This window comes from Homo sapiens, chromosome 1 (assembly GCF_000001405.40).
Source record: "Homo sapiens chromosome 1, GRCh38.p14 Primary Assembly".
Classification (NCBI taxonomy): domain Eukaryota; kingdom Metazoa; phylum Chordata; class Mammalia; order Primates; family Hominidae; genus Homo; species Homo sapiens.
The window spans coordinates 169,426,827-169,441,053 of NC_000001.11; the positions used below are offsets into that span (position 1 = coordinate 169,426,827).

At 39.2% G+C, this 14,227-nt stretch overlaps 1 protein-coding gene across 8 annotated transcripts in view; it reads right to left on the bottom strand.

Moving 5' to 3' along the window:
• Positions 1-14,227, bottom strand: part of CCDC181 (coiled-coil domain containing 181) — a 65,800-nt gene that overhangs the window by 31,957 nt on the left and 19,616 nt on the right. For 5 of the 8 annotated variants that reach the window (NM_001394008.1, NM_001394007.1, NM_021179.3 and 2 more), the window contains exon 1: positions 462-648. The exons of the other annotated variants lie outside the window; for them this stretch is intronic. The gene's annotated coding sequence lies outside the window, so the exon portion shown is untranslated. Of the gene's footprint in view, positions 1-461; positions 649-14,227 lie in introns of those variants that run through there. 8 annotated transcript variants of the gene reach the window in all.

Genomic DNA, 14,227 nt, shown 5'->3' on the forward strand with positions numbered 1-14,227 from the left:
AAATCATAAACTGTCACAAAGTATGATGATAAATATTTTATGGACTTTAGGTGATAATTTTAATCTGTATTCAGGATCCCAAGGTACCACCAACGAAATGAATACCATTGCCTCCTCATGGAAGCTACAATTTCGGGAGTGACTTTTTCTCCCAGGGACAAAATTATTACTTTCCACGTTCAAGAACTTTGAGAGGGGAAAGAATATGACAAAAATTTAGTCTAAGCTACTCTCAGACGAGTATCCTTCATACATAGTGAAGAAAGGTGTTACCAGACTTCCCCACCAGTGCCAGACTCGGTGGACCTCGGACTCCAGAGGATAAGGCGCCACCAGAAAGCTTCTTCCCTCACTACCTACCCTCCCTCCCAGCTATACCAGACGTTTATACCTTTACCCTCTATCCCACCATTAACATCTCCGCATCGTCCTTCCCTTCTCTCCCTCTATATCCCTCTTGCCTGTGTAAAATGCGGCGGCTGGGATCACAGAGATGGCCGGGGGAGTTCTCCTCTCCTCCTCTTTCTAAGCTCTTCACATTGAGGCAAAGGAGACCCCGGCACCTGCCTCCGCGGCAGCCAGGACCACACTGCCATGGCAACAGCGTGCCTCTGCGTCCTCCATCCGGGCCTCTCTAACTACGAGAGCGACAAAAATCTGCGCAGGCGCATGCAATATCCTCAGACCACCGACCCCTCCCGGCACCCATCCCGGTGCTTGCGAAGGGCCAGTGAAGCTGAGGTTTCTAAGGGGACGACTAAGGAATCCACGCATCACTAACGTTATAGAGACTCGCGAAGTGCCGCTGTGTTGGTTGTGAAATTTCCCTCTTGTAGCTGTCTCTCGTCAGATTTAGAATTTCTTAGGACAACTTCTAAAACTATATTTCTATATGTTATGTGCTTCACAGTTAACGTAGAAAAGTAGTTTTTAGTTTTCATTAGTAGATAAGCAAATTGCTAATGAGTTACCATATTTTTGACCCTCAGCTTCTTTTTTTCCTAATCAAAACCAAAACTTTACCCAAGAGAGTTGCCAAAGAAAATAGGATTTTTGCTCTAGCTTTGAGGCATGTCAAAATGGTCAACTAGAATTTTCTCAAATTCTGCTTATCTTTATGTATAAAGGCAAAGCAAGATGAATTTAGATTGTGGTGAAAGTTGAGATGATTTTAACAACTATCCATTCCCAGCCAGAAATAAATAAGAACTGGGAGAAGTAAAAATATTTCCTCAGTACAATCCAGTGTGTTCGGATTATTTTTAAATTGTTTATTATTAGGATTTCTATCACTTGATGTGATGGAGAGCACCTTTTCTCCAAGAGAGGCAATGTAAAATTAAATTTTTAGATATTCTTCAAGTTATAGACTTAAGGTCTTTTAAAATGGAAGGTTAAAATGAATTGTAATATTGAGTGCACTTCCTAGATGTGGTGTAGTTGTAATGACCTAATGTTGCTACTGCTTCAGCGCTTGAAAAAAGACGCTCCCAAAAAAGGTTATTCACTGCTAAAGGTTGAAGGAATTTTAGTCAAATCTCCTTTAATGGATGTAGAGTTGTAGAGTTACTTACCAAAGCTGGAAGTAGACCCTAGGTTTCAGAACTCCTAGGTTAATAGTTTTTTCCTCTGACCATCCTCCTAAATTTGTATTTTTCAAATAATGGGTGATAGCAGCTTTTTTTTTAAGTATCAGGTTTTGGGGGAACAGGTGGTGTTTGGTTACATGGATAAGTTCTTTAGCGGTGATTTCTGAGATTTTGGTGCACCCATCACCTGAGCAGTGTACACTGTACCCAATATGTAGAGTTTTTTTGTTTGTTTCTTTGTTTGTTTGTTTTGTTTTTGAGACAGAGTCTCGCTCTGTCACCCAGGCTGGAGTGAAGTGGCACGATCTGGGCTCACTTCAACCTCCATCTCCCGGGTTCAAGCGATTCTTGTGCCTTAGCCCCCAGAGTAGCTGAAACTACAGGCACGCCACCACACCTGGCTAAGTTTTTGTATTTTTAGTAGAGATGGGTTTTCACCATGTTGCCCAAGCTGTTCTCCAACAACTGAGCTCAGGCAGTCTGCCCACCTGGGCCTCTTAACCAATATGTAGTTTTTTTATGCCTCATCCTGCTCCCACCCTTTCTCCCAAGTCCCCAAAGTCCACTGTATCATCTTTACGCCTTTGCATCCTCATAGCTTAGCTCCCACTTACAAGTGAGAACATATGATGTTTGGTTTTCCATTCCTGAGTTACTTCACTTAGAATAATGATGAAATAACCTCCATTTCCATCCAGGTAGCTACGATGCCACAATTTCATTCCTTCATATGACTGAGTAGTATTCCATGGTATGTATATGTACCACATTTTCTTTATCCACTCGTTGGTTGATGGGCATTTGGTTTGGTTCTTTATTTTTGTAATTGCGAATTGTGCTGCGATAAACATGTGCAAGTGTCTTTTTCACATAATGACTTCTTTTCCTCTGGGTAGATACACGGTAGTGGGATTGCTGCATCAAATGGTAGATCTACTTTTAGTTCTTTAAAGAATCTCCACACTGTTTTCCATAGTGATTGTACTAGTTTACATTCCCATCACCAGTATAAAAGTGTTCCCTGTTCACCACATCCATGCCAACATCTGTTGTTTTTTTTATTTTTTGCTTATGACCATTCTTGCAGGAGTAAGGTGGTATCGTATTGAGGTTTTGATTTGCATTTCCCTGATCATTAGTGATGTTGAGCATTTTTTCATCTCTTTATTGGCCATTTGAATATCTTATTTTGAGAATTGTCTATTCATGTCCTTAGCCCACTTTTTGATGAGCTTATTCGTTTTTTCCTTGCTGATTTGTTTGAGTTCCTTGAAGATTGTGGATATTAGTCCTTAGTTAGATGCATAGTTTGTGAAGATTTTCTCCCACTCTGTGGGTTGTCTGTTTACTCTGCTGATTATTTCTTTTGCTATGCAGAAGCTTTTTAGTTTAATTAAGTCCCATCTACTTACCTTTGTTTTTGTTGCGTTTGCTTTTAGATTCTTGGTCATGAAGTCTTTGCCAACGCCAATGTCTAGAAGGGTTTTTCCAATGCTATCTTCTAGAATTTTTATGGTTTCAGGTCTTAGATTTAAGTATTTGATCCATCTTGAGTTGATTTTTGTATAAGGTGAGAGATGAGGATCCAGTTTCATTTTTCTACATGTTGCTTGCCAATTATCCCAGCACCATTTGTTGAATATGGTGTCCTTTCCTCACTTTATATTTGTGTGTGCTTTGTCAGAGATCAGTTAGCTTCATTTCTTGGTTCTCTATTCTGTTTCATTAGTCTATGTGCCTGTTTTTATGCCAGTACCATGATGTTTTAGTGACTATAGCCTTGTAGTATAGTTTGAAGTTGGGTAATGTAATGCCTCCAGATTTGTTCTTCTTGCTTAGTTTTCCTTTGGCTCTGCAGGCTCCTTTTTGGTTTTATATGAATTTGAGGGTTGTTTTTTCTAGTTCTGTGAAGAATGATAATGGTATTTTGATGGGAATTGCATTGAGTTTGTAGACTGCTTTTGGCAGTATAGTCATTTTCACAATAGTGATTCTACCCATCTATGAGCATGGGATTTGCTTCCATTTGTTTGTGTCATCTATGATTTCTTTCATCAGTGTTTTTTAGTTTTCCTTGTAGAGATCTTTCACCTCCTTGGTTAGGTATATTCCTAAGTATTTTATTTTTTGCAGCTATTGTAATGGGGTTGAGTTCTTGATTTGATTCTCATCTTGGTTGATGTTGGTATACAGCAGTGCTACTGTTACCGGTGGAGGGTGTCCATGTTCTTGGTATTTTGAACAAAGAATTGGAAAAAAAAAAACACACAAATAAAGCAAGGAAAGAATGAAGCAACAAAAGCAGAGATTTTTATTGAAAATGAAAGTACACTCCACAATGTGGCAACAGGCATGAGCAGTGGCTCAAGGGCTCCAGATACAGAATCTTCTTGGGTCCAAATACCCACTAGAGGTTTCCCATTGGACACTTTACATTGGTTCACCCCATGTAAATGAAGTGGTGGCCCGCAATCAGTCTGATTGGTTGTGGAAAGCAACCAATCAGAGGTTGAAGTGAAGTTACAAAGTTACACTCCTATGCAAACATTACACTCCTATGCTCTTTGCAACCAATCAGGGGTACTTTCAATTTCCCATCTGCAGGAAAGAGGATTTGCCAAGGAAGTAGCCTCTGGTCCTTTTGTTACTTAAACATGGCAAGTTAGGGTTTTCCTTTCAACTGCATTCTAGGAAGTCAGTGTGAAATGGCCTTAGGTTCACTGACTCCAGACCCTATTCTCCTGCCTCACTACTGATTTGTGTACATTGATTTTATATCCTGAAACTTTACTGAATTAATTTATCAGTTCTAGAATCTTTTTGGATGGTTTTCTAGTATATGATTATGTCACTGACAAACAGCAACAGTTTGATTTCCTCTTTACCAATGTGGATGCCCTTTATTTCTTTCTCTTGCCTGGTTGGGATATAGCAGCATGATTGGTAGCCAAAAGTGGAAATGACTCAAATGTCCATCAAATGATGAATGGATAAATGTTATATATCTATACAATGGAATATTATTCTGCAATAAAAATAAATGAAGTACTGCTGGAGGATTCTAAAAAGATGGTGGAATAGGAAGCACCAGGAATCTATCTCCCCACCTGGAAAAACAATTGCACTGTCAAAACCTATCTCTTGTAACTATTTTGGAACTGTGGAGTCTATTAAAGGCTTGCAACTTTCAAGGGAAGGCTTGGACAGAAAACTGAACTTATTTTGGTGAATTTCAGCTCTTAGTTCAGTATCATCTACCCAACCCCAAACCCCAGCTCCCTAGCAGGCAGTCTGTATTACTTGCAGGAGCAGCTTTAACATAGTTCATGAGAGTCAATGAGCAGTAAGGACCCTGTCCTCCTATTGATGAGGGTCTATGTTCTGATAATTGATTACTGCTTCTGATCAAGGAGATGCAAACACAGAGGTAGCCGCCATTGTTGTTGCACCTTCCCCCACCATTGTAAGCTTTTACTCCTCCAGCTGAAGCAACTTCCAGGGAATTTTCCTTGTTTTCTTCCTTTTGGAAGACAAACATTAAAGACTAAGACATTAAAAAGCAACTACATTTACAGAGAAAAGTATAAAGTTAAATTGAACACCCAGAGAAAGGCATAAACTCAGAAAAATACCTGAGAAGACCTTAAATCATAAAGATGCTCAAATAACTAAGGAAAGATGTGGAGAAAGTGAAGAAAATAATATATAAACAAAATGGAAATATCAATAAATTGAAAACTAAAAAAGAAATCAAAGAAATTCTAGAGCTGAAAAGTACAACTGAAATGAAAATCTTACTGTTGGGATTCAAAAGCATATTTGGTCAGGCAGAAGAAAGAATCAGTGAACTTAAAGATAAGACAATTGAAATTGTTGTATCTGAGAAACAAAAAAATTAAAAAGTTAAAAGTGAAGAGAGCCTAGGGGACCTGTAGAACACCACCAAATGGACCACAGTCTGCATTGTGGGAGTCCTTGAGAAAAGAGAAAGAAGTAGTATGATAATTTGAAGAAATAATGGCTGAAAACTTCCCAAGTTTAATAAAGGATATGAATATGATCATCACAGAAGCTCAATGTACTCCAAGTAGTATGAATTCAAACAAACCTCCACTGAAGCATATTATCCATCTAACTGTCAAAAGACAGGAAAGAAGCAACTCATCACATGCAAGGGATTTGCAAAAATCCTCTACAAAATACCTGATTTCAGCAGCATATTACAAAGATACTGCACCATGGCCAAAAGTGATTTATTCCTAGAATGTAAGGATGGTTTAACATACAAAAATCGATGCAGTATTCTACATTAACAGAAGGAAAGAGAAAAACTGAATGATCATTTTAATTGATGCAGAAAAAGCATTAAATTCAGCACTCTTTCATGATAAAAAACAAACAGACTAGGAATAGAAGGATACTGCCTCAACTTAATAAAAGGCATATATGAAAAACCCGCACCAAACATCATGCTCAATTCTGAAAGACAGAAAGCTTTTCATCTAAGATCAGGTATAAGATGAGGATGCTGGCTTTCACTACTGCTATTAAACATAGTACTGGAAGTACAAGCCAGAGCAATTAGGCAAGAAAAAGAAATATAAGGCAGCCAGATTAGAAAGGAAGAAGTGAAATTATCTCTGTTTGCAAATGACAGGTCTTATACGTAGAAAACCCTAAAGATATCATTTTTAAAACTATTAGAATTAATACATTCAGCAAAAATTGCAAGAGACAAAGCACATAAAGTCAGTTGTATTTCTATACACTAATGATGAACAGTCTAAAAGGAAATTAAGAAAACAATTCAATTTATAATATAAAAAAGAATAAAATACTTAAGAATTAACTAAATGGATGAAAGATGCATACAATGTAAACCATAAAACAGACAAATGGAAAGCTATCCCTTGTTAATGGATTGGAGGACAATATTATTAAGATGTCAGTATTACCCAAAGTAGATATGCAGATTCAATGTAATACCTATCAAAATCTCAGAAAAGCAGAAATAAATCCATCCTAAAATTTGTATGTAATTTCAAGGAACCCCAAAAGCCAAAAGAGTCTTGAAAAAGAACAAAGTTGGAGCACTAATACTTCCTGATTTCAAAACTTACTATAAAGCTAAAATAATTTAAACTATGTGGTACTGCATAAAGACAGCTTTATAAACCAATGGAATCAAATTTAGAGGTCATAAATAAACTCTCACATATATGGTCAAATGATTTTTCACAAGGGTTTTATGAAACTCCGAGGGGAAAGGATATCATCTTTCAACAAATGGTTCTGGGAAAACTGGATATCCACATGCAAATGAATTAGGTTGGACCCTTACCTCGCACCATATTCAAAAATAAAATGGATCAAAGATGTAAATGTAAGAACTAAAACTATGAACTCTTATAAGGAAACAGAGCAATAGCTTTGCCACATTGGATTTGACAATAATTTCTTAGATATGACAGCAAAAGCACATGCAAAAGTAAACAAATTGGACTGCACAAATATTAAGTACTGTTGCATTTTAAATACTTTTGCTCACTAGACATTATCAGCAGAATGAAAAGGCAACCTATGAAATGGGAGAAAATATTCGCAAATGATATATCTAATGTTCATAGGTATCCAAGGTATTAATATCCATAACAAATAGAGACCTTCTAAACTCAACAACAATTATAAAAACAAACACTCCAATTCAAAAAATGGACAAACAACTTGATTAGACATTTCTCCGAAAATACATGAATTGCCAGGAAACATATGAAAAGATGCTAACTATCACTAATTATTAGAGACATGCAAATCAAAACCACTATGAGATACCACCCTCATTAGGAAGATTACTATTAAGACAAAATAAATATTGGCAAGGATGTGGATAAATTGAAACCCTTATGCACTGTTAGTGGGAATGTAAAATGGTACAACTGCTATGGAAAACAGTATGGCAATTCCTCAAAAAATTAAAAATTGAATTACCATATGATCCAGCAATCCCATTTCCGAGCATATACCCAAAATAATCACAAGCAGGATCTTGAAAAAAATATTTGTACAGTCATGTTCATAGAAGCATTCTTCACAATTGCTAAAATGTTGAAGCAACCCAAGTGACCATTGACAGATGAATGGATAAGCAAATGTAGTATATATGCACAATGGAATATTATTCAGCCTTTTAAAGGAAGGAAATTCTAACATATGCTACAATGGGATGAACCTTTGAAGACATTACGCTAGGTAAAATAATAATAAAGCCATGTATGAAAAACCCACAGCAAACATCATATTCAATAGTGAAGGACTGAAAGCTTTTCATCTAAAATCAGGTACAAAGCAAGGATGCCTGCTTTCACTACTGCTATTAAACATAATACTGGAAGTCCTAGCCAGAGCAATTAGGCAAGAAAAAGTCATAAAAACACAATATTGTGTCATTCCACTTATATAAAGTGCCCAGAACAGTCAAAATCTTAGAGACAGAAAGTAGAATCGTGTTTTCCAGAGCCTGTTAAGGCAGGGGAAATGAGAGGTTATTGTTTAATGGGTACAAGGTGTCAGTTTTAAAAAATAAAGTGTTCTGGAGATGGATGGTAATGATGTTTGCATAGCAGTGTGAATGTGTTTAATATCATGGTAATGTACACTTAAAAATGGTTAAGATAATAAGTTTTATGATAGGTGTTTTTTTACCACAATAAAAAGTTTTAGACAAAAAAAGGAATGAAGTACTGATAGATGCTACAACATTGATGAACCTTGAAAACATAAATATTATGTTATGAAAGAAGCCAGACACAAAAGATCACATATTGTATAATTCCATTAATATGAAATGTCCAGAATAGGTAAATCTATAGAGATTGAAAATGAACTAGTGTTTGCCTAGGGCTGGAACAAAGGAGTTGTTGAGAGGAAATGGGTGTGTGACCACTAAAAGTTGAATTGTATGGTATTAGTATATGAATTATATGTCAACAAAAAAGATGTTACAAGAAGTATTAATGGAATGGTGGGCAAACCATAACTGTGGAGTTGAACATGTAAGAAAAATGGGTTTTCCAGGACTGATTGATATATGGCTCATATCTCCTATGTTTAACTAGCCTGTAGAAGATTTTAATTTCTGGCCAATTTCCCCATCAATAACATAGAGATCATAATATTTGCCTTATTTTTGTGAAGATTAAGTGAGTTAATCCATGTACTTAGCCCAGTGCCTGATGCATACAAAGTGCTTAACAGGGACTATTACATTACATAGTTTTCCAAAAGGATGAAAGTAGGTTCTAGAGTATCTTTATTGATATTCCAAAATGAAAATAATAAAATTTTTAAAATTATGTGTGGAATTCTGTAAGAAAAATAGTTGCTACATTATCAAACATTTTTTAACTTATGAAAGGTTTAGATATTAATGTATCAATTTCAAATAAATGTTAAATATTACAATTATAGAAACCTTGTGCGATATAACTGAGCATTAAAGGTGAAATGGATAGTGTAAAAATCATAATAACATCCCCACTTAAATGGAAGTCAGAGTTCCAGTTATCTCAACCACCTAAAACCAAGCTGTAAACAAAAACAAGTGTAAAAGATGTGAAAGCAATAATGCAAAGCTAATACAGTTTGTGAACTAAGCTTGAGCCATTTTTAGGACAGTCTTTCACAGTCCTTTCACTTACTTTAGTCTCATAAACCCAGGTCTCTGAATTCCCAGCCCAGAAATTAGGACGTGATAATTTCAAAAAAGAAAAACAGTTGTGTTGTTAAAAGTAGGTACTCTGACACCAGAAAAAAAAAATGCTTTTAAAGAACTCACAGCTCAGCAGAAATATGCTTAACTATCCCAAAGACAGTATAAGTTTCAGTGGAAACTTTCGTTCACAGATCAGGATTGTGTTAGTTTTCACGGTATGTTTGTGGTATTTCAGAGGCTACCATGCACAGTGAGGAATAGATTTCATCTTATGCCATACCCCATCTTGCTTTTGTTTTTTAGCAGTCTGGCTCTGTCACCCAAGCTGGAGTGCTGTGGCACAGTCATGGCTCACTGAAACCTCTGCCTCCTGAGTTCAAGTGATTCTCAAAGGTTGACAGACTGACATGCAGAAAACAAAAAATAAAAAGAATGAAAAGCAAAGACGACCTAGACTAAAAGAAAATTTTTTTGTCTCTTCTAACGGCAAGCAGAGACAAACATTAAATTGCAATATCGTACAATCATTCACCATCTGTAATTCACAATCTATAGTGACAATCTTGAGCTTCTAAAAAAGGTTGATTTCACTATTACCTCTTTAGTAAGGCAGAGCACTATTAGTTTTCAATAATTTCATTCAATTTAGCCTGTTGAGCTCCTTAACTTCTGGGCCCACTGGGAGGTGAATAATTCATAACTTCTACATGAAAGAGCTCACAGACTGAAAAAGAAAATAGGCTTAAACAAAGGGAGCACAGTGTGACACACAAGGTACAGATTTAGCTTGAAAAATGGAGGAATTAATTAGGAGGAGAGTGACAATAAAATGATTTCTACAAAGTGTTGACATCAGAGCTGACATTTTTTTTTTTGGCGGGAGGGAGACCTGAGTTTTATTATTACTCAAATCAGTCTCCCCAAGCGTTCAGGGATCAGAGTTTTTAAGGACAATTTGGTGGGTGGGGGTAAGCCAGTGAGCCAGGAATGCTGATTGGTTAGGTCAGAGATGTAATCATAGGGAGTCGAAGGTGTCTCCTTGCACTGAGTTCCTGGGTGGGGGCCACAAGATCAGATGAGCCAGTTTATTGATCTGAGTGGTGCCAGCTGATCCATCAAGTGCAGGGTCTGCAAAATGTCTCAGGTACTGATCTTAAGGGCAGTGTATCCTTAAATATTGTAGCCTCTAGCTGCATGATTCCTAAACCATAATTTCTAATCCTGTGGCTAATGTTAGTCCTACAAAGGCAGTCTAGCGCCCAGGCAAGAAGGAAATTTGTTTTGGGAAAGGGATAAACTATAAACTAAGTTCCTCCCAAAGTTAGTTCAGCCTATGCCCAGGAATGAACAAGGACAGCTTGGAGGTTAGAAACAAGGTGGAGTCGGTTAGGTCACATCCCTTTCACTGTCTCAGTTACAATTTTGCAATGGCAGTTTCAATCCCTCCCTTTGGGTTTTATAACATGTTAATCTTAATGTGTTGGCTAGTGAAGACCATTCTAACTTCTTCCTGCTGATCAGGGGCATAGTGGTGGTAGGTGTTGACCCAAGAAGAGAGGAGTGGAACCACTTTGCAACTGTCTGAGCATACTCATGCAGACCTGGCTGTGGTTCCAAGGCTTGCATGGCAAAGGCATTAGTATTGTCATCTATAGTTTTAGTACCACATTTAAAGGAACAGTGTACTATAAAGTAAATACTGAGTACTAGGGTAAGTAGTGCAATGCCCAGTTTTAAAAGTAAACATTTGCAAGATAATGTTTAGGGCTAACTATGACGTGAACCCCAAAATTCCTGTCCTCTGGAGACCAAAAGAAAGTATTTCCACATGGTCACAAGGTTAAGCTCTTAAGGATACAAAACTAAATAGAGAAAATTCATCTGGTATTGGTTTCACGGACCTGCAGCAAAGTTTGTACCTCACCAGCCTGCCAGGCTGGCTTGAAAAGCAGGCTTGTAGGTGTCCTAAACCCATGTTCTATCCTGTGATATCCCTCTCTCCATTATATAAAGACAAATTTTTAGCACAAAGTGTACCAGATTTGCTACAGCCTAAGACTAGCCTCACAAATCCTTTTTTTTTTAAATATATTAATCAAACCCTTGCAGAGGAGACAACCAGTTACACTTACACTTACAAACACACCCACAAACAGACTCACACAGAGAGACCAGAAACTCGTGTGGTAAGAATTTCTTACCCTTTCTGCCGGCATACTAGGTTTTCAGGTTCCCTTTCTCTGCAGCTTCCATAAGAATGGAGCAGTTTTTGATGACCCTGCTTGCTGTGCCATAGCTGTGAGGGTCAAGCCACTTAAAAAAAGAAAATCATCCTTTTCTGTTTTATGAAGCCATAGGCAAAAGATTCTCAGTTTTGCAAGATGCTGCCCAATGGTCTGCATGGGGAACCGAATTAACATTTTTCATCCCAGCAAAATACATACAACAAAACAGACACTAGTCACCTTGTTCAGCACCCAATATCAACCTGACAAAGCTCAAACTTTCTCCTGTTGGTCCCTGTTGTCTTTGATCCACTCCAGATGGGAAGGGATCACCTCCAGATGGTAATTCACATTGGGATCTCTGGTCAAGGTGAAGAGCGAATAGCCACCCTGAGACAGGCCTGTTGAGCTTTCTTTAGGGATCACCAAATGTGACCAGATAAATAAGGGGGGGTTCTGAGTTAAGTCTGCTGGACTTCCATAAGCAATTTCTTCAGAGGTCCCCTTCACATATACAAAAACACACAAAGATGAGACAGACAGAAGGATTCCAAATCTGATCCCTAACCAACAACTCCAAGAGTATCCCTTCCAAACTATCCTCCTATTCTCCATCTGAGAAATCTCCCTGAAATCTTCCTGATGGAGAAGTCTCCTTAACCAAGACTCTTCCTACTAGTTAGGGAGAGCCAACTGAGACCCCCCCAGGAGCTGAACTGAGACAGACACCCCACAGTGGGGCTATATCCAAACCAAGACCCCCAAAGGAGCTGAACTGAGACAGACACCCCATGGTAGAGCTACAGACACCCTGCATTGGGGCTATGGACAGACACCCCACCATGGGGCTACAAGACCAGTTGGGAGAAGGAAGAAGGTGTTTGCAGCTCCTAGGATACTCACCAACCCAGACACCCCACAATGGGGCTGCAGACAGACACCCTACCATACATAGGGCTACAGACACCCCACCATGGGGCTACAGAGAGACACCCTGTGATAGGGCTACTGTTATGAGATGTCTCCCCAGAACTATTTCTCTCTTGCAATTAAATCCATTCATATTATGAAATGGGAGAGTTCCCTGACCCCCTCCCTCGTGGAACTTGTGACAGGGGTGCAGCTCATTTGCTCAGCCACTGCGCTCAAATACCTTACAGGATGGGGAGCATGCAGACAGGCAGGTGCAGGAGCCAGGGCGAGCACGTTTGGTCTCAGGACTCACAGTAGCATCTCGGGGTGTGTTACAATTAATGCTCTTTTAGCAGTTGCCATCCACAGACAGCTAAGTGTTACACCAGCTCAGTGGAGTCAGGGTGACAGCCTTTTACACCCTGCCCTCTTGGTATCCGGGTCCTTGTCCCATATCCAGGAAGAATCAGGTCACATGGACTTAAAGGATGGTGAATGCAGGGATTTTACTGAGTGATGGAGGTGGTTCTCAGAGGGATAGGTGGGAAGCTGGAAAGGGAATAGAGTGATAAGATGATCTTTCCCTGAAGTTCAGCCATCCCATCTCCTCTCTGACCATCCCCAGCCGAACTCCTCTCAACGTTCAGATGCTCCTTCTCTTCTCTTCTCTTCTTCTCTGCTGCTCCACTCTGCTGCTCTTCTGATTGTGGATCCCGGGGTTTGGGCTTTTTATGGGTACAGGATAGGGGCATGGTGAGCAAGAGTGGTCTTGGAAAAGGCAACACTGGGATGTGAAAACAGGAATGCCTGTTCCCATTTAGAGCCGTGGGTTTCCAGGCTTGAGGGTGGGGCCTTTTCTGGGGAACTGCTCTCTTCTACCCGCTATTTCCTTGCCTCCTGTCCATATCAGTTGGGTTGGCAGCACCCCACCAGTAGAGAGAGTACCAGAGTCAGCCCCCAGTCCAAGAGAACTAGGCCCACTTGGGCTGACCTCTGGATCCATCGCTGGAGGCGGATACCAAACCACAGGCAGGTAGCAACAAGGGCAATCCCAGAGGAGCCCCCAAATTTGTAACTGCCCAGTAGGTTCACCTTGCCCACTGCCTAGACAGAGCCTGATTTATCAAGACAGGAGAATTCCAATAGAGAAAGAGTAATTCACACAGAGCCGGCTGTATGGGAGACTGGAGTTTTATTATCACTCAAATCAGCCTCCCAGAGCTGAGTTTTGAAGAATAAAAAGAATTGTGCAAAAAGGATAAGGCATTGTACATAGAGATGATAGCATTTGCCAAGACATAGAGGCATCAACTAGTTAACTCCAGGATCTTTAGGTAATTCAGAATTGCTGGCTCAAAACATGCAAGATGGGGCCAGGCACAGTGGCTCACACCTGTAATCCCAGCACTTTGGGACATTGAGGTAGGCGGATTACTTGAGGCCAGGAATTCAAGACCAGCTTGGCCAACATGGCAAAACCCCATCTCTACTAAAAATACAGAAACAAAACAAAACAAAAAAATAGCCAGGCATGGTGGAGCACACCTGTAATCCCAGCTACTTGGGAAGCTGAGGCATGAGAATCACTTGAACCCAGGAGGCAGGAGGCTACAGTGAGTCATGATCATGCCACTGCACTCCAGCCCAGGCAACAGAGCAAGACTGTCTAAAAAAAAAAAAAAGGCAAGATGAGGTATGGCGTAACATGAAATCTATTTTTTATTGCCCATGGCAGCCTCTGAAATACTACAAACATACTGTGAAAGCTAATGCAATTCTGATCTGTGAAC